The 24,279-nt window shown below is 33.9% G+C and overlaps 1 protein-coding gene across 9 annotated transcripts in view; it reads left to right on the forward strand.

Annotated features, from left to right (window-relative positions):
* Positions 1–20,118, forward strand: part of SLF1 (SMC5/6 complex localization factor 1) — a 79,391-nt gene extending 59,273 nt beyond the window's left edge. For 5 of the 9 annotated variants that reach the window (XM_017009979.3, XM_047417831.1, NM_032290.4 and 2 more), the window contains 7 exons: positions 1,305–1,452; positions 9,070–9,215; positions 11,003–11,166; positions 11,970–12,103; positions 14,061–14,153; positions 14,571–14,753; positions 17,328–20,118. In XM_017009979.3, the coding sequence (XP_016865468.1) occupies positions 1,305–1,452; positions 9,070–9,215; positions 11,003–11,166; positions 11,970–12,103; positions 14,061–14,153; positions 14,571–14,753; positions 17,328–17,809 (1,350 nt within the window). In that variant the 3' untranslated portion in view covers positions 17,810–20,118. The other 4 variants (XM_047417830.1, XM_017009981.3, XM_047417832.1 and 1 more) reach the window with 2 other exon arrangements.
* Positions 20,119–24,279: the final 4,161 nt, after the last annotated feature.

Raw genomic sequence — 24,279 nt, forward strand, 5'->3', positions numbered from 1 at the left:
TAAGCATAATATATGCCTAATATGGGATTAATTAGAAAGAAATTAGATGGCAGAACATAGTTATAATCTATTACTGTAGCATTTATTAAAATGTTTTCATATGCCTTTTACCCAACTATTAATTTAGTGATTTTTTTTCCTACATATCCAACATGCCTAGACAACAAATAACAAGAACATAAGAATTTCAGCTGGTTTTAATGCTTTGAAAAAGTGTTTATATTTCAATCAAAGGTGTTTTTAAAATTTCATTTTCACACTTCTTCATCTTCATAGTTTCTACTGAATTTTAGAGATTAGAAAAATACTTTCAAACATTAGCGTAGGGTAAAGCACGCTTAGAAGGTTTGTATGCCTTGTTACATTTCTTATAAGAATTTAATGATGTTTATTATAAAAGTAATCATATAAAATGATATACTTTTTTTTTTTTTTGAGACGGAGTCTCACTCTGTCACCCAGGCTGGAGTGCAGTGGCACAATCTCCTCTTACTGCAAGCTCCGCCTCCCGGGTTCACGCCATTCTTCTGCCTCAGCCTCCCGAGTAGCTGGGACTGCAGGTGCCCGCCACCACGCCCGGCTAACTTTTTGTATTTTTAGTAGAGACGGGGTTTCACCGTGTTAGCCAGGATAGTCTCAATCTCCTGACCTCGTGATCCACCCACCTCGGCCTCCCAAAGTGCTGGGATTACAGGCGTGAGCCACCGCGCCCGGCCAGTGATATACTTTTAAAACTGATCTCTACATCTCTAAGTTGGGTAATTAGTATTTGATATATAATTAAATAATAAAAATTGGAATCAGTATATTATAGCAAATGAATAATCTTGTTTACTAGAACTTTTATTCATTGGGTTTCTCAAGTCTTTCTGGAAAATGTCATAAAGAGAAATGTAAAGAATAATTCTGTATATAAACAGTGGAGGTAGATAAATCTATCTTCTTTTATAGTCCTATCTCTCCTATTTATAAAAATCTACAAAAACCAGGTATTTTCTCATTATTTTAATGGAATTATTTCCTAACAAACTTGATGGTATTGGATAAAATTAAAGTTTATTCTAAACTGTTAAGTTGTAGGTCCTTGGAAAATTTGCTTTGTTAACTCTTTTGTCATGTGGAGAGAGAGAGAGATGGAGGGGAGAGAATTAGTTAGCTAGGGTTCTTAAGAATACCTTTAATCATTACATACCCTGTATTTTTAAATAGCTATGTTTTGCCCCTCAAAAAGTATTCAAAATAAATACTAACAGAAATTCAATATTGTAATATATTTTAGTAATTTTTTTGTATCTTAATGTTAGGTCTTCAAACATGAACTAGCTTACTTATTGGCTGGAATTCTTGGAGCAGCAATAGATTATTGGATTTTCCTTGGTCTTAAGATGGGTAGAAATGTGATGCGACACATGTCTGATGACTTAGGAAGTTATGTTTCTCTTTCGTGTGATGGTAAGTTTGTCTATGTTCTGTTTTTTTCAGACCCATTCTGGAAATTAGTTTTGAATTTCTTTTAAGCAGTCTGTAAGCTTTAACATATGTTCATTTGAAACTTTCCTTAAAATAGTTATGGATGCACGCACACATAGATTCACACACACAGACAATATAAAGAGGAAGATTTAAAGTACCCATATTGTTCCTACACAGATAACTGCTGTTAACTTTTTAATGTCTTTCTGGTATTTCTAAGCATTTTTGTATAGTTGAGTTCATACTATATATGTAATTTTGCATTCTTATTTTCCTCTAAACATTACAGGAGACTTCCCCCCACATACATTTATTATTCAAATATAATTATTTTACCTGGTGCAGTGGCTCACACCTGTAATCCCAACCTACTTTGGGAAGCCGAGGTGGGAGGATCTCTTGAGCCCAGGAGTTTGAGACCAGCATGTGCAACATAGCAAGACTCTGTCTTTAAAAAAAAATTTAAAAATTTGCTGGACGTGGTCTATGCTAGTAGTCCCAGCTACTCTGGAGGCTGCAGTGGGAGGATCCCTTGAGCCCAGGAGTCCAGGGCTGCAGGGAGCCATGATTGTGCCACTGCACTCCAGCCTGGGTGACAGAGCAAGACCCTGTCTCTTTAAAAAAAAAAACAAACAAAAAAAACTTGCTACTATTTTTTTCCCCATTGAGTCTGGTGCTCTAACAAGAAATGAACATGGATGAAGCAAACAGAAGTAATTTATATGGATAATTTTTTTCACTCTTCTTTTCTCCCCATTACCTACTTTAAAGTCTCCCCTAAAATAAAGGGAGGAAGGAGTGTTATTTAAGAAACATGATAGCAGAACTCATTTCACAAGGTGAAAAGTTCTACCCAATTCTTTGGGCCTCTAGACTGAAGGAGGCTTCCATAAAGACCTTATGTAGATTCCCAAACTCCATAGCCAGTTTAGGGAGAGTCTTTGCCCATCCTTCCCTTTTTTTCTTTATTTCTTTATTTCTGTAATCCTTAATTCCTAAAATGAATACATTTTAAACCAAGTAAGTTTTTTTGTGGTTCTTACCTATAAAAGATTATTTTTATATACTTTTATATACTTGATATTTTAAACTGCCAAATAAGTACTCTGCTACACATGTGTTTCAGTGTATCTTGATTTTATATAAAGAAAAAATTCTTCAGTATGCCATCAATCACTTTAATACTTTGAAGAGAGACTTCAGAATAGGAATCCAGGTTATAACTGGGTTCAGGATTTATTCGATGATGCCCTCTGCAGAGAGAGTTCTCTTTTTATACTACCAAAGTTAGAAGATTTTTATCTAAAGCATTTTATCTCTTTTATTTTTTTCTTTTTCATTGAGCTGAGGGGGTGATTACAGTTCCTTTTGTGGAGTAGCTGTCCTTTGTTGCATGACTTTAACATTTCTTAGCTAACATTCAATCTTCCTGCAGAACCCTTTCTTATATTTCTTTCCCACCATTCCTACTAGGTAGTTTAGTGGTTTTTATCCTTTTCAGAAAACAGAATTCTGGCATTATTTGCTAGAATGGGAACTAAGCATTTGACTAACAGAATTTCCTGTTTTCATTCCTTAATGAAATTTGAGTTTGGAGACCTAGTAGAGGATTAGCAGTGGCTTTAGAGATTATCAGGATAGTTAGATGTCTTGTTTCCAATACATAGTAATTGCCCTTAAGGAATTATAATTTATTTTATAGTTTAGCCAAATGCATGAAATAATGAGCCTTGTATTAAAAGGATTCTACTACCTGTTATACATTTGCTTCAATGCTTTCTTCACTAATATTCTGAATTTCCCTTCGCTTTAAAGCAGGACATTGTTATCCAGTGTTATTTTCAGTTTTCACATGACATGTGTAAAACCTAGAACTTTGATTCTGTGAGTAACATGAACTTAAACTGAACCTTAGTGTTACTATTATGATCCTGTCACAGATTATTTTGCTCCCAAAGATCTATTAATATATTTGATCACTAACATTCAAAACTTTCGATGAGACTTAAATTGTCACTATTGAAAAGTACTTTTAAGCCTTTTTCTTTACCTTTCTCAAAATGTACACGTGTGCATGTGCACACACACGCAGTTGGTTGCTTAGGCTTCAAATTCGGTTATAGCTAGGCAGTTTAAAAGTTTTAAACATTATTTCTTTTGTCTTTTTTTTTGAGACAGAGTCTTACTCTGTCCCCCAGGCTGGAGTGCAGTGGCATGATCTCGGCTCACTGCAATCTCTGCCTCCCCGGTTCAAGCAATTCTTGTGCCTCAGCCTCCCAAGTAGCTGGGGTTATAGGTGTATGCCACCAAGCCTGGCTAACTTTTTGTATTTTTAGTAGAGATGGGGGTTTCACCATGTTTGCAAGGCTGGTCTCAAACTCCAGACCTCAGGTGATCTGCCCACCTCGGCTTCCCAGGTGCTGGGATTACAGGTGTGAACCACTGCGCCCAGCCAAAAGTTTTAAACATGTATTTCTAAAAATGGTTCAAATTAATATTTTTCTATTTTCTTTTTTATTTTTTATTTATTACTATTATACTTTAAGTTTTAGGGTACATGTGCACAATGTGCAGGTAAGTTACATATGTATACATGTGCCATGCTGGTGCGCTGCACCCACTAACTCGTCATCTAGCATTAGGTATATCTCCCAATGCTAACCCTCCCCCCTCCCCCCAACCCACAACAGTCCCCAGAGTGTGATGTTCCCCTTCCTGTGTCCATGTGTTCTCATTGTTCAGTTCCCACCTATGAGTGAGAATATGCGGTGTCTGGTTTTTTGTTCTTGCGATAGTTTACTGAGAATGATGATTTCCAATTTCATCCATGTCTAGTTTTTTCTTTTCTGTTAGTGCAGGTTGATGTTTAACCTTTGTCAAGAGACAGAAATCCAGTGAACATTTTATCATAAACCAGTAGCCTCCAGCCTGGGGGACAGAGTGAGACTCTTCTCAACAACAAAAAATAATGTTTAAAACTTTTAAATTGCCTAGCTATAACCAAATTTGAAGGCTAAGCAACCAACTGTGCGTGTGTGTGCATGTGTGTGTGTGTGCATGTGCGCGTGTGCACATGTATACATTTGGAGAAAGGTAAAGAAAAAGGCTTAAAAACACTTTTCAATAGTGACAATTTAAATCTCATCTAAAGTTTTGAATGTTAGTGATCAAATATATTAATAGATCTTTGAGAGCAAAATAATCCATCAACAGGATTATAACAGTAACACTAAGGTTGAGTTTAAGCTCATGTTAGTCACACACAGAATCAAAATTCTGGGGTGTTGTAATAATGTCCATTTTGTTCATATTTTGATGAAGAATTTTGAAATTCATTGTCTGCCACCTCTTTTTTTCCCTCATTTCTTTTCTCTGCGGATATTCCTTTTAAAAAAAATCATTTATTTTGCATTATTCTTCTACTCAGTTACTATCTTTTGCTTTTCCCAAGTCATTAGTAAAGATGTTCTAATTTCACTGTTATATAACTTCCAGTTGAAGATATCGGTCCATCTTTCTCAATTATGGTAAACTGGATGTTCTAATATTTCCTAGTTCAGAAGTACAAAATTCATACTGTGACACAACTGAGATTCACATCTATCAAATTCATTTCAGTTTAGTATAATTTTTAGTTTATAATTGTTTTGTCAAGAATTAAGGCAACAGATATTTTAGAAGATAAATAAAATTTTTTCCATCAGATCTCATGTTCATCAGTTCCATATAGATGCCACTCTATGTTGTTTCTAAACACTTTGGACAGAAATTTTCTTTTCTGTATTTTAAGCTCAAATTATCTGAAATTTCTTTTTTATGCCTGATTGAAATTCCTCATGTAGTGGCTTAAACTACAGATTAACAAAATTCGTTCAATGTTAAGTACCAGACAGTAAATATTACTGGCTTTTTAGGCCCTACAGTCTCTCCCTGCCACTCAACTTTGCAGTTGTAGTAAGAAAGCAGCCATAGACAATACATAAACAGACAGCATGGCTGTGTTCCAGTAAAACTTTATTCGTAAAAACAGGCAGCACACCATAGTTTGCCAATCCTGACTTAAACGTATTTCTTCTCCAGTTGTTTCAGTGGGAAAGAAGATGTCATCAAAATTTACTATAGGTTTTTTTTTCATATCTTTGGAGAACTTTAATAAATTTCCTTTGCCTTTCTCAGATTACATCATTATTGCCTGATAAATACTTTTTCCAAACCTTTATTCACTTTTGCTTTGTTATCCCTTAATTTCTTTCCATGCTTCAGACCTTTTTCCTAAATATAAATGTTTATGTATCATTACTAACTCTAAGCCAAAATGTTTCTGTTCTCTTCGTTTATTCAGCAAAATTTTATTGGCATTCTACCAGGCATTGAGCTAAACAGTTTTCTATACAGTGGAAGAAGTAAACAAAACATGGTCCTTGTGGTTTTTTTATTTTATTTTTACTTTTGGAACTTTAAGAGAGATAAACGGTAATTAAGTTAATATAAATATGTCATTTAAAATAAGTGCTCTGAACAGGAAAAACTAGGTGTTGAGATTGGTGAACTTACTTTTATACTGTATGACCATGGAATGCAGAACATGAAGAGTAAGTAGAAGTTTGACAGGGCAGATTGTTTTAGTCAGAAGGTAACATTTACCAAAACTCTGAATAGGAAAGAAGGACTGTTTGAGACCTTCTGGGGCCTGGCTGATGGGAAGAGAGGCCAGAATAAGGCCAAAGAAGGGTTAAGGGAGTTTGTGTAGGAATTTGTAAGCCTTGTTAAGGAGTTAGAAGCTATTGAAACAAGAGAGTAGCATGATCTCATTAACTTGATTTAAAAAGATTGTCCCAGCTTGGCTTTCTGTTATTAGTTATTGGTATTTGCTAACTGTTCATTCATTCATCTGTCAAATACTAAATGTTTACTCTGTACAGATTAATGACCTATATACTGTAAGGACTACAAGTATGACCCTTTCCTTAAAGTTCTTACAGTCCACGGGCTAATTTTCTTGTGTTCTCTTGTTCATCTATTATTTTTTATTCCCCTTGACTTTGTGGCCTGGTAATATGTCGACCTGTCATATTAATACTTTGTATTCCTTATTTCTATAAGCCTACCAGATGTGATCCTTATTAGATAAATAACTCCATTTGTAAATTTCAATGTGAGATCAACTCTTTTGAACTCTACAAGTTATTTTTGCTTTGCTTTTGCCTCTGTCTAGAGTTCTTACGTTAAGAGATCAATTGGTTGCAGTACACTCTGTGATGATAGATAGGCTTTTTAATGTATATAATTAGAGATTAAATGTTCAAATTATCTTTTGATTCTTATCCTTCAGTTTACTGCTTGTACATTTTTAGATAATATTAACAGAGCCTCAGTAGTAGCAAGAGAACGGGTTGTAAGTAATTCTTTTCTCCTTTCCAACTCATAAAAATTGTATCTCGGCCAGGTGCGGTGGGTCACCCCTGTAATCCCAGCACTTTGGGAGGCCAAGGCGGGCAGATCACAAGGTCAGGAGATTGAGACCATCCTGGCTAACACGGTGAAACCCTGTCTCTACTAAAAATACAAAAAATTAGCTGGGCGTGGTGGCGAGCACCTCTAGTCCCAGCTACTCGGGAGCCTGAGCCAGGAGAATGGTGTGAACCCGGGAGGCAGAGGTTGCAGTGAGCCGAGATCACGCCACTGCACTCCAGCCTGGGCAATAGAGCGAGACTCTGTCTCAAAAAAAAAAAAAAAAAAAAAAAAAAGTATCTCTGTAGAGGCCATATTGGAAGGGATTATCTAAATTCAGTGATAATATATCTGTTTGGGGTTAGTTGTATCTGGTTAACATCTGACCTGAAGCCATTTGCCCAAAGGTTTAAACACTCCTTATGACAAGCTGCCACAAGGCAAGGGCATCAGATCTCTTTAGTCAAGGCAAGTTTCTCAGCCTGTATACTGATTATGTTTTGGGCTGGATAATTATTTGTTGTTGGGGCTGTCCTGTGTATTGCAGCGTCCTGGGCCTTTGCCCACTAGATGCCAATAGCATCCCTTTCCCCAATGTGGCAACCAGAAATTACCAAATGTTACCTGAGAGCAAATCCTCTTTTACTTCTCCCATCCACTATTGAAAATCAGAGTCAAGGGTCAAGGACTACAAGACACTAGAGCCCCAGCCTTTTATGAAGGCATCTGAGCAGGACATTGACTGGGTGTCTGCATTCTCTTCACGCTGAAAGAATTCCACCCCTGAATAGAGAGGCCAGCTTTTATGCCTTATACTGCTATTAAGTTTATCATTGTCTGATTTTAAAACTATATTTTAACTTAATGCTTATAATTTTAATTCTTCTCTTCTGCTGTTTATTATGTTTACTTTGCTAACTGTATTGACTTATTCTTTATTCTTCCAGTATTTATAGTTAATCTCCCTTATTGTATAATATCACAACTTTTTTATATTGTTTGTAATTTTAGCTTTTTTGATATCCTCTTGGTTGGTCTTATTTATTCTTTCATTATCATTTTGTTGCATTTTCATTATGTTACATAGAGAATATTAATAGTTTATAATATTAAATAGATCACATGGGAAATAGTCACTCCTTTATCACTTTGAATTCATGGGTATATTTATGCATTTTCTTCTTATTGAAGTTCTTGAGGTTTTGTAGAAGATATTTGAGGCTCTTGGTGTTTTCTTGTTTTTTGTTTCATCATTTAAAATTATCCACCATCTGGCACGCACCTGTAGTCCCAGCTACTTGGGAGGCTGAGGCAGGAGAATCGCTTGAACCTGGGAGGCGGAGGTTGCAGTGAGCCGAGATCGCACCACTGCACTCCAGCCTGGCAACAGAGCGAGACTCCGTCTCAAAAAAAAAAAAAAAATTATCCACCATCCCCCATAGTAGAGTGGGTGCAAACTTCTGAGGAAGTCGTTATACATGCTCGTTTCATGTTTTTCTTCTTTATACATGCTCCTGTTTCATGTTTTTCTTTATACATGCTCGTTTCATGTTTTTCTTCTTTACCTTGTGCCTTTCTTGTTTTTCTTCTTTACCTTGTGCGTTTCTTCTTGTTTCATGTTTTTCTTCTTTACCTTGTGCCTTTCCTCCTTTTCTGCAGTGATAAGATTCATGGGTGTTGTCATAGGAAGCAGTCTACTTTCTTCCTGTCAACTCAGTACTGATCATTGCAAATTAAATACTTGTATGTTCATTTAAAAACTAATTACTGGTTTTCCAAAGAAGCATCCCTATTGTGGGAAGAGATCTTTAATGGTAGTTGGAAAGTATAGTGATAAATAAAATCCCCTCTATATATTCATATATTACCTAATCTGTATATATGTAATTTCAAGACTTGTATCTGAAATAATCAAACCTAATGATTGTTTTTTTCAAGTGTGAGAACATGTGCCATTAAATATTTTCTCTTAAAAGTCAAGGAATAGTGATATGACCTATTTTTTGTGGATTAAAATCATGTGGATGAATCTTATAGGTGTAAGAGCTCTCATTTGACAGAATAAACTTCACTAAGGAAATAGCCTATGGAAAAAATTGTATAGGATACAGCAATAACTATATTAACTTACCTTATGTTCTCCAGACTTTTCTTCACAGGAATTAGAGATTTTCATTTGCTCCTTTTCCTCCTCCTGGCTTCAAATGTTTGTTGCAGAGGCAGTCTTTAAAAAGTTGTGTCTACAGAGCTCTGGCAGTGTTTCTTCTGAGCCACTCTCTCTTCAGAAAATGGTAAGTACCTCTCTATTCTGGTTCTTTACATTTTCAAGAAGTGAGTTCACAAACTCAATTTTATTTATTTAGTTATTTATTTATTTTGAGATGGAGGCTTGCTCTGTCGCCCAGGCTGGAGTGCAGTGGCGCAATCGCGGCTCACTGTAAGCTCCGCCTCCCGGGTGCATGGCATTCTCCTGCCTCAGCCTCCCGAGTAGCTGGGCTACAGGCGCCCACCACCATACCCAGCTAATTTTTTTGTATTTTTAGTAGAGACGGGGTCTCGATCTCCTGACCTCGTGATCTGCCTGCCTCGGCCTCCCAAAGTGCTGGGATTACAGGCGTGAGCCACCACGCCTGGCCCACAAACTCAATTTTAAAAAATTCTTAGTTATTTCAAGTAAGTAGGCAGAATATATTAATTCATAAATATTTCAATTCTGTATAAAAGCTAGTATATTTCTGTCTCTAATTAGAGTAATGAAAGCCAGCGGCCGTGCTGAGTGCCTGTAGGTGAGTGCCTGCAGGTGAGTGCCTGTAGTTCCAGCTACTCAGGAGACTGAGGCGGGAGGATTGCTTAATCCCCAGAATTTGAAGCTGTAGTGCATTATGGTTGCACTTGTGCATAGCCACTGCATTCCATCCTGGACAACATAGTGAGACCCCTTCTCCAGGGGCAGTGGGGGGAAGGTAATCACCAAATAGAAATTTTAAGGCCGAGCATGATGGCCCCTGCCTATAATTCTAACACTTTTGGAAGCTGAGGCAGGAGGATCCCTTGAGCCCAGGAGTTCGAGACCAGCCTGGGCAACATAGCAATACTCTGTCTCTAAAAAAAAGTTAAATTAGCTGGGCATGGTGGCACATGCCTGTGGTCCCAGCTACTCGGGAGGCTGAGGTGGGAGGATCCTTAATCCCAGGAGGTCGAGGCAGCAGTGACCTGTGATAACCACTGTACTGTAGCCTAGGTGGCACACTAAGACCCTGTCTCAACAACAACAACAACAACAACAACAACAAAGAAAGAAAAGAAAGGAAAAAGAAATTTTAATTACTTTTGAGCGTAGCCAAGGGTTGATCATAGAAAACTAAAAAATCCTTGTTTCCTAATAAAATTCCTACATAGGTTATTATTTTGGAAAGAACTAGATCCAACAAAATTCTAAATGGTATTTAAAAAGCAAAATATTATGCATATAAGCTACATTTGATTTAAAGTTTTCCAGTTTTATTTTGGCTATCTTTAGATATTAATATTTAATAATAATTATTTATTATTATTAATAAGGCAATATTAATTTAGATATGTAGATATTAATATCTATCTTTAGATATTAATATCTTTAGATATTAGTCAAATTCTGTTTTGCAACAATCCTTTAAGGATGTTTTTATTCCTTATTTTGTTTTCTGTTGAAGAAAGACTTGTTTTCTGTTCAAGGCATTATCAGAATGGAAATTACAAAATACCAGTTGTATGTAAATCATACATATAAAATGTGCAAATGAATCATACCTGTTGGGCATAAGACTAATCAAAAGAGCTTTCCTAAATGAGGATCAAAATTGAATTAGAAAAAAATAATTATTTTTAAGAAGGTGTTTTTCTGGTTGTTCACATGGTATTGACTTTGACACAAAACTAGTTTTCTTAATATTTTATTATGTTCAACCAAGATAGAGTGGCAACCATAGTGATGCAACCAAGAAAATATAACCAAATGTAATAGTGAAATGAATCAAATAATTTCTCTTTACTGCTGTTTTTGTAGTTGAGAAAATAATGCAATATTATTTTTCAACAGGTATATTCCTATTTACCAGCCTTGGGGAAAACTGGTGTGCTTGGGTCTGGAAAGATTCAGGTGTCAAAGAAAATAGGACAGCGGCCTTGTTTTGACTCTCAGAGAACCTTACTAATGCTGAATGGTACTAAACAAAAACAAGTCGAAGGGCTGCCAGAGTTACTGTAAGTGATGCTGATATCCCAGCTGTGCTTTGTTTTGGAGTACAGCTCTTTCTCTGATGCATTTCTTGAACTTAATGGTTATCTGTGATACTGTCTGAATTATACTGATTAGATCAAAACTCAATTTTAGATCTATTTGATCAACATTTTCTGTTTCTGTAATTCAAGGTACATGCTTTCTAAGTGCTTCCCAAAAGAAATAAAACTGCTCATCAAATTATTGATGAATTATTGATGAAATACAGTTCCACACAATTTTTGCCCTATGATTTGAATGACTACTTTGCCATAATATAGATGGGATTTCAGAATGCATGGTCATATGAGATATCCTGTATCATTATAGTAGTTTCCCCAAAATGAGAAACCTCTAAAAGTATAAGGTGTATAAAAGTGTATGTTGTATAAAACTCAGAAAGCCTGAAAGCTTCTGTGAGAGGAAGAAGAGAATAGAATCAGAATATGAAAGTAAGAATGGGGAGCAGAGGCCTGCTTGATCTTAGCTTTCTGCTTTATTCTCTCTGCCAAATATGGTTTAACTGGTCTTTTTCTCTTTATTTGACATTCTGTATTTATAAATTTAGTGAGCAGTTGGGGGAGTAGGACTAATAAAAGAAAATTAGTGCACTGAAGTTTGTTTCTACACAGTTGAAATAAATTTTAAAATTAGAAAGCAGTAAAGATTGAATGAGTAAGGGAGTTTAAATTAAAAGGGGGCTAGACTTTTAAAAAATACCATCTAATGTATGCTGGCACGCCTTGCTGAAAAACAAGCTTTCATTATTTCTTACTTTTCCTTTCAGAGACCTGAACCTTGCTAAATGTTCCTCATCATTAAAAAAATTGAAAAAGAAGTCAGAAGGAGAATTGTCATGTTCCAAGGAGAATTGCCCCTCTGTAGTTAAAAAGATGAATTTTCACAAGACTAATCTAAAAGGTATTCCAAGTATTTAAATTAATTTATGCTAAGAACTTTTCATGGTTATAGTCAGTACTTGCAGGTTTCACACATTTGCCCTGATGAATACTTGAACTTAAATATTGGACTAGGTCCAGGAAGTACCTTCTTGGATAACGTATTATTTTCTTGAACTGTCATTTATGCAAAGAAAGTGATTGTTTAATAACCAGTATAATAGAGTATTCTTTCCTTTTTTTCCTCTCCCTGCCATTACAGATATGAAACACAGTGTAGCATTCATTGAGCTCATTCCAGACTTGCCCGCCTTACTTTTCTATTCCATCTCAACCTGTGCTGCTTAGGATCAGTGTCTTCTGATTTGAAAGTATAATTCAGTCTTCATCTCTTTCAGTCCTAGACATTTTGTGAACAAAGAATGAAGAGTAGGCTATGTTACATAGCTGTGTTAAGCATATGGGCTCTTTTCTTCCAGGCATTGAGCCCAGACTATGAAATGTGTTTGGCTTTTGGTTCTAACTATACTGGAACCTAAGTACCTAAAGGATGAAATAACAAGAATAGCATAATAATTCACTTTGGCACCTCTTTTACTTAGCCACCTCATAACTTGTAAATGGATCTTCCAGAAGTCTATACCTGGCCAAAGTAAATTGCTGAGTCTTTTTTGTTGTTGTTGTTTATGAGTTATATCTTGTTTTTAATACAAATATTAACATTATGACACCCATGGAAATAGTGACAGTGAAGCACTTATATTTCAATGTGATATAAGTTCATAATTGCATATTACAGATTCAAAATAACTGTCCATTTGACTTGGAATATGAAAATTATATTAGATGAGAACTCAGATATTAATTTCACAAATCAGCGTTCTTTTTCTTTGTTTTATTGTTTCAGAAAGTAAAATGAATATGAATGATTTTAGGCAGAACAGCAGAAGGAACTGGGAGAGAGGAAGAGAATTGAGATATAGTAGAGAAAAACTTCAAAAGCTTTTTATGCATGTAAAAAAATGTTTTTGTAGAAGTTAGAGATAATCTGTAAAACTGAACACTGTAAAAATGTGCTACTTAGTATTTTATAGTAAGAACAAATTAGATTCAGTATTTCATTTTGTTTCCTAAGCAGTCATTTATAGTAATTTTTTTAAAATTCCCCTTAAATAATCACTTATATCTTATTAATCTTGGTTGTAACAGTGATGGATATAGACAATTTTAGCCAGAAGGCATTAATTGCGTCTCTCCTAGAAAAAACCTTGTCATTTCTATTTGTTACTCTTGTTCAGCTTTAAATGGTACTAGGGATTTTTTTTTTTTTTACATCCGTGTGTGTGTCTGTGTGTGTGTGTGTGTGTGGTGTGTTTATATTAAGATTCCTCCATTTCTCCCTCTCTCTGCTGTTGTAGCCAAGCCAGACAGCCTATTGAGAAGCAGCAAACCATCTGTTAATGGATTTGAAGTTCTGAATTATACTTGAGTGTGTAGAGGCACTCATGCTTAGCCAGAAACATTCATTTGAATTAAGCTATAAATGCTGTATAAAAAAGAGCCATACATTTAATGTAGGTTCATGAATAAATTTAAGAGAGGGCAATTGCACTCTAAACTTTTATTGCTGCAAAACCCAGTATTTTTGGTGTTCTCTGATCATTTGGGGGTTTTATAGCAGGATTGAAGCTTTAAACCTTGAACTAGGGGAGACAATGCCTGTGTTAAACCTTTTGCAGTAGAATTTCATTGCTGAATTGCTGATAGAACAGAAGCAGTATGGATTGGTGGGGGTCCTTCCCCTTCCCACCCCCCACCCCCGCCTTTTTAAATGCAGGGGATGTTTAAACCAGTCAAAAGAAGAACTCAATAAATAAATTTCTGGCATGGGGCCAGATCTCCTAGTTCATGCCCTTTGATTATTTTTTTTAGTTGATATCTTGTCTTCTCTGGAATAATCTATTAATTTTTTATGGCAGGAGAAACAGCCCTGCATAGAGCTTGCATAAATAACCAAGTGGAGAAATTGATTCTTCTTCTCTCTTTGCCAGGAATAGACATCAATGTTAAAGGTAAGTTTTAAATCTTTGTGGTCTAGTCCAATGTCTTAATATTTGTGATATTAAACAGTTTTATATCACATTAAGAAAAATTATTTAAGTAAATTTACCTAAGGTATCTTAAAAGTATAAGAAAAATTTCTTAGCAAAGCCAAGAAATTTCTCATATATTGATTTATAACTAATGGTATAAAAACATTTTTTGGTGTCCATATTTTGATAATACCCAACATTAATATTTTAAAATTGTTTTTATTTTAATTTTTTAAGGTAGAAATATGATTACACCCTAGACATTTTTATCACAGCATTCTTTTTGTATATGAAGCACCTAGAAAGTCACACTGATGAGAAAAGTAGAACATCAGTACTTTTCTACCAAAAGTCCTACTTCTGCTGTTTTAAAACTTGCCTTGATTTCTAATTTAGACAATGCTGGCTGGACGCCTTTGCATGAAGCCTGTAACTATGGCAACACAGTGTGTGTCCAGGAAATTTTGCAACGTTGTCCAGAGGTAGATCTGCTCACTCAAGTGGACGGGGTGACTCCTTTGCATGATGCACTGTCAAACGGACATGTAGAAATTGGCAAGCTGCTACTACAGCATGGGGGTGAGTGTGTTTATGCTAAATGGGTTTTGATAAATTATCCAGTTTTTTGATGAATCCTGCAGAGGTAGATAGCATTTTATGTTTAAAATCTGTAAGGAAAGATGCCTTTATTTCATATTAATGAAAAAGTAAGGATAAAAAGTCTCCTAAAACGTAAGCACCTTTTATTATTAGAGATAAAATCCTTTTCATAATGTATATTTGTTTATGTATATATTATTAAGCCTATTTAGGTTCGTGTATGAGAGTCTGTTTTTGAATTGAGTTTGCTGGTTTTAAATATTTATCTTTTTCCTTCAGGTGTGTAATGTCTTTGTGAGCCAGTCATTTCTGAAAGCTTATTGATAAATGGATATAAATGTTCAATTGTGATTACCTGGATTTTTTCATTTCCTGTATGTAACTACAAACTCAATCTTATTTTTAATGAGTCATTTCTGTACAGACTGTAAAAAAATGATATCCTAGAATATTTTTCGTCATTCACATTTTGCAGCCAATTAAGTTAAAGCAGGAGGATTTTCAAATGGTGATAACTGTTATGCAGGGGTTTTGTGAAGGAGGTAACTTGAGCTGAATATTCATCTGCGTTTTTCCTGCTGATTTTTGATCTTTGCTTTCAGCAAGGCCCCACATTATTTCAGTGTCATTCTTCTTATATCTAAACTGAATAATATAAATTTTACAACAAAATGTTCAAAACGGATTGGTGCTTTTAAAAGAAAAAAAGAAAACTGATGACCAGCTTAGAATATGGAAACAAAGATTTGTAGAAATTACTTGTCGTTTTTATTTGTATTAATTTTACATTTAAATTTAACATTATCTTATCCTGTAATTAAAACATTTGATTGTGCATAAAGACAAAAAGCGTATTTTCTTAAGATGTCTTTTTAGTATATATGCATCTAAGGAAGGCTGTATAGCATGGGAGTTTAAGACATTTGGTTATATATAGTCTTCTCCTGCCCCCTAAAGGCCTTAGTGTGTCTGTTTTACTGATATCATTTCATAGTCAATGTTTTTCAGTTCTTCTACCTTGTTTTTTTTAGTATTCTGTGTTTACTAAACCATAAGTTCTACCTCCTTAATGTTTTATTTTTCTACTCAGCCGTGTGTCTGGCATTCAGGCCAATATTTGTTAGGAGCCATTATTGTATTAGGTCCAGCTCTTCAGTAGAGTATGGCATTATACCAACCAATGTGAATTTTTCTAGGGCTCTTAGTGGAGAATAGTAAAGAGATGAGTTTCTCCTCCTAGAAGAGGAAATCTAATTGTTTTTGTTTTTATCAAGGTCCTTTGGCAGTCGTACAGACTTGTTTCTGCCTTAGTCATATTCTGGGTTTGGACCTGTCAAGTGGTTTGACACTTATATTGAAGTAACTGCATTATCTATTCATTGTGAGTCACTCAGCCTCAAGAGCAATAATTTCAAGAATTTATTTATTTCTCTAAAACGTTTGTTTACTTTTGGTATCCTGTGTCCGTAATTTTGTCTTTTTTTTTTTTTTTAAACAGAAGTAACTTGGAACAATTTTTTTGAGATGTTGGCACAGTGAAAAGGAGCCTAATTTTGTTTTAGAATTATCTTCTTTCCATAAATTATACATTAATCATATTATCAATGGTTGATCTTTTATATTAAGTACATTTTATATCTATGCTACTATGTATGTCTGATCAGAGTCATCATTATGAATTTTAGCAGTTATAATCAGTTCTCTCTTTCTGACAATATGATCTATGTTATAATTGTAGGACCTAGTGATTATGTCTGCTAGTACTAAAATCTTTATATCCCCTGTAACGTTTTTATGGCCAAGTGCATAAATAATTATAAGACTTGACTGATGAAGGCAAAAGTACTCCTATACTTTGCTATGTAACCAAATACTGAGTTATGTTTTGCCTTCTCCACATCATCCTTTAGTACTTAGTGGATAAACTCTATCTTTAGTACTTTCTAAGTAGGTAGTTAAATGAGTTTAACTAGTATAGATGGATGAGATCTGAGTTTGATCTAGAAGAATTAATATGTAATTTGTGTGAACCAGTTACCTGTACTAAACATTGAACACAAGCAAGGGTAATATGAAAACTGTTCTCTATCTGTGCAAGGTTTTGTAGTCTTTGCACTGCTAGAATTGTTTATTAGCAATGAAAGGGGCACTACTTTTTCCTCTTGGTGATATTTTGAGATACCCCTGAGGCTCTTGTATAGAATTTATAAGATGAATAATACATTTTTAAGATTTCTTCTGGGAACACTGAAATTCTTATTTTAAAATGACAGTTGATAAAGTTTTATAAAAGTTTTTATTTGTAGTTGTATTTATTATTTATTTAACGGAGGCATGCACGTTTGGGGAAACCTTATTAGGTAATTGACTAGAATTTTTTTAATGTACCTTTATTCGTCTATATATATAGTCAGTTAATTGTGTCGACATGAATTAATACAAAATATGATTGCAAAGAAAGCACTGGATGCTTTGGGAAAAAGGAGAAAAGAGCTGTTAAGCTGCCAAAATAGAAATGTTTTACTTGCAACATTTTGCATTTTCTTTTCACAGGCCCAGTGCTTTTACAACAGAGGAATGCTAAGGGAGAATTGCCCTTGGATTATGTGGTTTCACCTCAAATCAAAGAAGAACTGTTTGCTATTACAAAAATAGAAGATACAGTGGAGAACTTTCATGCACAAGCAGAGAAACATTTTCATTACCAGCAACTTGAATTTGGCTCCTTTTTACTTAGTAGGATGTTGCTAAATTTTTGTTCAATTTTTGATTTATCTTCAGAGTTCATTTTAGCTTCCAAAGGGTTAACTCATCTAAATGAACTGCTTATGGCTTGTAAAAGTCATAAAGAAACCACCAGTGTTCATACTGACTGGTTACTGGATCTTTATGCTGGAAATATAAAGACATTGCAGAAACTCCCACACATTCTTAAGGAACTGCCTGAGAATTTGAAAGTGTGTCCTGGGGTACACACTGAGGCCTTGATGATAACATTGGAAATGATGTGTCGGTCAGTCATGGAGTTTTCATGATGATGCTAGAAAGTATGGATTGACTTTCTAAATCTGTTCAGTTTGCATTGGTACTTACTGTGGACTTCATAGCTTACTGACAGATAGTAATTTGATTTATTTATTGACAGACTTTGCAGCCTTGCTAAATTTTAAAAGCATTTTTAAAAAAACTTCTACAAAACTCTAGTATGGGCTTCTGACTTTTTCCAGGGTGTAGAATTTGACTCAAAAGTAAAAATAATTTTGTTTTAGTATATTCTACTTTCATTAATGTTTTTTTGTTCTGAAAGTGATATTATATTGTACATGTAAAATTAATTTAAATATTTTTTCAAATAAAAATGTAATGTCCTGTATTCTAGATGTTCTAGGTCTTAGAATCATGGCAAGCATATTCATACAAATGCGTACCTATAAACTTGTAGCTCCTGACTCTTAGGGATGGATTTTGAGGAAAAAACAAGACTAAACAAAAACATGTAGCTCCCTATTTCTTCTCTCTAGGTTGTTGGACTGAAATATGCATTTTAGCTTTGTGTGTTTCTAAAATAAACATTTCTAAAATTTACAGTAATAATTAATATTCTTTTGGTTTTTAAATGCAGCAAATATGCAGAGTCTGACAGTTCAATTCCTTGATCTGTTTTATTTTAGCAATTCATATACAAAATGTATCTGTCGCTGCCCTATGTAACCCAGTATTCTGTACCTGAAAACATTCTGCTGCATAGGTTTATGAGTTTAATATTAAGATATTGAGTGGCATCTAAGTAATAGATTTGAGATTATTTAAGATCTTAATATATAGTATGAATTTACTGAGTAGTAATGTTTTAATTTGCAGTTTTTCCTTATAGCAGTTTGTAGTAAAACTAAAAGAAAGGGTGTGGATAATAACCACTTTTGAGATTGGAGTTTCTTCACTACTGGGAGTAAGTTACATTATGATACAGGTGGAAAATAAACACTTCCATTTAGCTTTTATGTAATTCAAGTGATGACCTTAGCAGTTAATCTGCTAAAGCAATACACTTCAGTTTTATTTTGGAAATAGATATTTTAACAAGATACAAATGCTCAGTATCATATTACTGGGTTTGTAATCTAAATTGAAAACTGCTATATCAGTATGAAAAAATATTTTAAATAAGTACTTTTTCCACACATACTCAGGAAATACTAGTTTCTATTTAGCCTTCAAATTTGGCATCATACAAATCTCTTTATTATTAATCTGCCAAAGTATCAGACAAAAAATGATATAGTGAAGACTATCTAAGAAGAGTTTAAATGCTTATAGAGAGTAAAGTGCTTCTCCAGATGATGAATAAGAACGTTTTTTATTCCAATGAGTACCTCTTTACTTCACTTGTAAAGGTGTCTGGGATAGTGTTTGCTTGGTAAACTAATATAAACTTGTAAACATAGGCTTTGACATCATACACATTTTCAAATCCTTGTCTAGTTTCTTAATAACTAAATTGCAAGGCAAATTCTTTTCTGAGCTTTGGCTTTCCTACATGTCAAATAGAAATCACACCAGGTATCTTTGTCATGATAGAATTGTTAGCATATCACATCATATGACACTTAATAAATATTATTTCCTTTCTAATTCTTACCTCCTCTTTTGATTATAATGAATCATTTAGACAAAAGGCAATATAGTAATTGTTTAAGTTGGTAGTAATTCTAAGGTAATTAAGGAATCAACATCATGAGTTAGGGTTTTATACTGTTAGTACAAAGTAGTTTTCCAAATTAGATGTTCATAACGTATATTTGTTTAATTGCAATTAGCATTAATATTTCATAATTGACTGCTCTGTCTGCCAACTTCTACAAGCAGTGATGACATGAAGTGTGAAACAGATGTCACTGAGGTCTCTGCCTTTAAGAAGTTTTACACTTCTTCGAAAGTCCAACGTGGCAAACATAGGTTACTGTGTTCTGTGCCCTGGCTAACAATACCAGTATATGAGTATGAATCTAAATGTTCAGGAAAAGGCTTCATTCCCAAAATTACTTCTTATACTTTATTTTAGAAAACATAATAATAATTGCCTTGAATAATTGCCCAAATCTATCTTGGAGGTATAGGAAGAAGAAATTCTCAATAAGTAAAGTATAATTCATAGTCTTAGTCCTAGATTTTCAATGGCAGACTTTTCAAAGTTGCATCTGAAGACAAGGTTGAGAAATGCTATTCTTCACTGTATTTTGCCAGATGTGATATCATAGTTCTATGGAATCATATTTTTTAAATTTCTGTAAGAGACCTTATTACAATGTAAATAAAGCTGGAGAGGAGATTTCTGAGCAGTTAAGATTCAGCTTTTCCCCATGCATTGTTTACTGGCAGTTTCTTAAATCTCTTTGAAGTTAGAGTTTTCTAGGTTGTTAATTTTTAATTTCACTTTGCAGAATAAAATCATCCAAGTATATACATATTCTGTCATTTTATTCATTCCAAGATGACCAGAAAAACATTTATCCTCATAAAAGTCAAATGTGAAATTAATTCCTTTGAATTCAGCATTTCTTGAACACCTACTCTGAACCAGGTGGTGTGCTTGACAAGGGCTAACTACAAAAAAAGAGGAAAGGCCCACAGTCTAGGAAGGTAAATAAGGCTTAAGTATTGTGAATTTTATTGTCTTCTACATCTGCTAAAAAATTAATTTCAGTAATAATTGGTGTTCTGTTTTAGTTTATAAATGTGAATATTCAAGTGTCCAGTACTTTAATCCTTTGATGAGTATTATTTTAGCAATTTTATTTTAGAGTGGATAGGGTGTAGGGTGTGCTTTTGCAGTCTTAGTATTTTTAAGCAAGCACAAATGCATTACACTAAGATACTTTATATAACCTCCAGAAAATATCTGCCATTTTTGTTTATGCTGCTATAGAAAGTTAATTAAATGAATACCTTCACATGAAAAAAATATCCATGGAATGTGCAATCCTTATGCCTTTATACACCTTTCCAGTTAAGCGGTGAACTTGATGAGAGCCTGTCACTGTTGCTCCTTAATCAGTAGGAAGGGGTCATCTTGAGTGACATGAGGCACTCTTTCCCTGAGGCATTTATCACGTAGCTTTCACGCCAATTGCACCTCCTGCTGACGTGGAGCTTGCAAAACTAGGAATGATAATTGTTTTTATGACAAATGTGGATTGAGTTAGAAAGGTCAGTGATAGCGTTATTAGAATTAAGCTCTGCCTGGTGTTGTCAAAACAGGAGACATGGAATTGTTAACTATTCCTTGTAAATCAAATTATGTTATCAGAAAATTCACCTTGTAGGTTAAAATGAACTGTAGTTGGAGAATATACTTTGGTAGTTATTTGTTGTGATATATATTTTGAAATTATTATAGGCTATAAATTAATTAGAAAAGGTTGAAGTGTTGTTTTACTTGGCTCTGAGTATACATTTTCAAGGTAAGGCAAATCCTACTCAAAGAAGACCTTTTCAAAGGAAATAAAACATTTTTAACATTATTGATTATTAGATGTTTAAAAAGTTTGTCCTCTTAAGTACTTATCTTACAGAACATCTAAAATATGTACAAGCTGTTCCTAATACTTTTTATATTTGAATGTATTACTATGTCTTTTTTAGTGTAAGTATATAGTTTTGATTATAAATACACTTGAACTATGTTTTTTAAAAAGCTTGAAATACAATCCTTAGTACTAGATATAAGTGATTTTTTTTTTTAGAATGTTAATACTTTTTGTTTTTCAAGAGATGATCCCTCCCACCCCCTTTTTAAAACAGAAGTATAATGAACTCTGTTCTGGGTTTTTTAACTACTTGCAGAGTTAAAGATCAACAATATTAAGTCAGCAAAGTGACTATTAAACCATATTTCTAACAAAATATGCAGTATTGTTATATATGTAATATATCATATTGCCTTTAACAAATATAGACCCCAAAAGCCCTTATTCAAGTATTTATAAATAGTTATTTCCAATTAGAATTAAAACATATACTTCCAAATTAGTCATTTTTGTATCATGGCCCCAAATCTTTTTAGATGTAGAACCCAGATTTGGTAGATCTAATCCTCTTCCTTGCCAAAGTATCTGAGTTGGATCAAGTGAACGTTAATGTATTATGGATGTTAAACATTAATAGAGAATGGCTCACTAGTTTGGGACATACAATTTCATTCTACCAAAGAGTAGAAATTTAAACAAAAAACAAAACAAAAGGTTTAGCACTTCCAAAAAGTCAGGTGCGCTGAACTGAAAATCTGGAATCCAGGTTTGAATTTATACCTATCATACTGTCGTTTATCTTGATAGTAGATGAACTAAAATTACCACTGCTTCTCTATTCTGTCTCAAAGTGAAATAAATAGTAATATTGAAAAATCATTAATCTTAAAGTGTTGACAGATGAAAATAACTTAGTTTGTTGTCAGTGACTTCTCAACCTAAAGGTTAGGTCAACAGTGGTTTATGTCATGACTCTTAATAAATTTTTCTAATGACCAGAATAGTTTGATTTATGATAGTTTTTTTGTTTTTGTTTAAAGGAATATTTATCTTTGTTATCTGGCTTCATCCTAAAGATGCATTTTTCTACTTTGCATTCATTCCTTTTTATATTAGAGATAAAATTACCGAGCAATAAGTAAAATCTGGTAAAATTAAAATATGTGTTTTAAGGAATTTTCCAGGAAAACTTAAAAGCAGAATTGTAAAGGTGAAAACTGGACAAGGGGATGAGGGGAAAAATGGTTAAGAATCATTCTGCTTAAAGGAATCCAAAGGGTAAAGATTTCTAGGTACTGTTTATTATATTGATGGAACTTAATGAAGGTATAAAATCAGACAAGCATGTAGACTAATCTCAGAAATAAACTGGGTCTTTGAAATTTTTGAATAATATTCGATAAACTAAACCAAAGGTCCAGATAATTGTTTTATAGAAGGTTCTTTTGGTCGAAATTCAATTTAATCAAAAATAAAGAATAATAAAATTCCAGTTCTAATGGTATCAGAAACAGGCTAGATTTTTTTTCACTGTTTTTTAAAAAACAATTGACACATAATAATTGTACATGTTTATTAGGGTACAGTGTGATGCTTCAATACATGTGTACATTGTATAATGATAAAATCATGGTGGTTAACATGTCATTTATCTTAAACCTTTCCAATTTCTTTGTGGTGATAACGTTCAAGACCCACTTTTCTAGCTATCTTGAAATATAATACATTGTTATTATCTGTAGTCGCCCCACTATGTAATAGAACATCAGCACTTACTCTTCTTAGTTCATCTAACTAACTTTGTAGCCCTTCAGACCATCCTCTCCCCATCTTTGCCTTCCCTCCCTTTCCCTTCCCAGCCTCTGGTAACCACCATTCTACTGTCTACTTCTATGAGATCACCTCTCTTAGCTTCCACATGTAAGTGAGATCATGTGGTATTTGTCTTCCTGTGAGAAAAAGGTTGTTTCGAATAGTAATACTCAGTCCTTTCTCACAGGCAAATCTTGACTCATTTCTTATTTTCCTGTCATTTCAGTTCTTTTACACTCCCAAAAATACTGTTAAGTTCCTACATGTTACTGGAGGAAATGGACTCAGAGAGTTGAAAGCTACTTATTAAAAGTGGTTGGACCTTTTACCTAAATATCATTTTTTACTAATATTAATATTTTAAAATTGAAACTAAATGTTATTAAAAAGGATCTTCTCAGCCAGACATGGTAGCACATGCCTATAGTCCCAGCTATTTGAGAGGCTGAGGCAGAATGATCACTTGAGCCCAGGAGTTCAAGGCCAACCTGAGCAACATAGCAAGACTCTTTTAAAAAAATAATAACATAAATATATCATCTAAATTACATAAGGAAAAAGATTGTAAGTAAAAAATTGCTTATAGTGATTGTCTTTATGTGAAAAAATTTTGGATCTTTTTCACCTCTCCAGGTTTCTTTGTAATGATTTGTATTTGTTTATAATACCAGTATCCAATTTATTTTGAAAGTAATGCTCCTGATTTAAGTAAGAATCAGTCCTTGAAATTTTTCTAAAGTTGCCTTATTTAAACTGGCACCTACTGGATTTTTAAAAGGTAAATTACAGTTTTAATATACTATTTAAAGTTGGATATAATTAAAAGTATAATTAGTATTATCTAACACAGATCTCAAAAAATACACTATACATGTGCTCCTTTTTTCAAAGTGAATCTGACCACTTTACTGATATGGTTCTCTACTCTTTAAGACACTTCAAAATGGAGCCCCAAGTATGCTGAAGTGGGAACTGGGGGGACTTTACTCTTTTGTAGTACTCTTAAATTGCTAAAGATTAAACTTGCTCATGTGGATACTATGTGGAGTCATAACATATCTTTACTTTGTGATTTTAGTATTTATGGGACCTGAAGAATTACTTGTTCTCTAGTGAGATTTTTCAGATACGACACAGAAAAGCAGGGAGAAACTGGTAAGATTAAA

Source organism: Homo sapiens, chromosome 5 (genome assembly GCF_000001405.40).
Source record: "Homo sapiens chromosome 5, GRCh38.p14 Primary Assembly".
Lineage (NCBI taxonomy): Eukaryota > Metazoa > Chordata > Mammalia > Primates > Hominidae > Homo > Homo sapiens.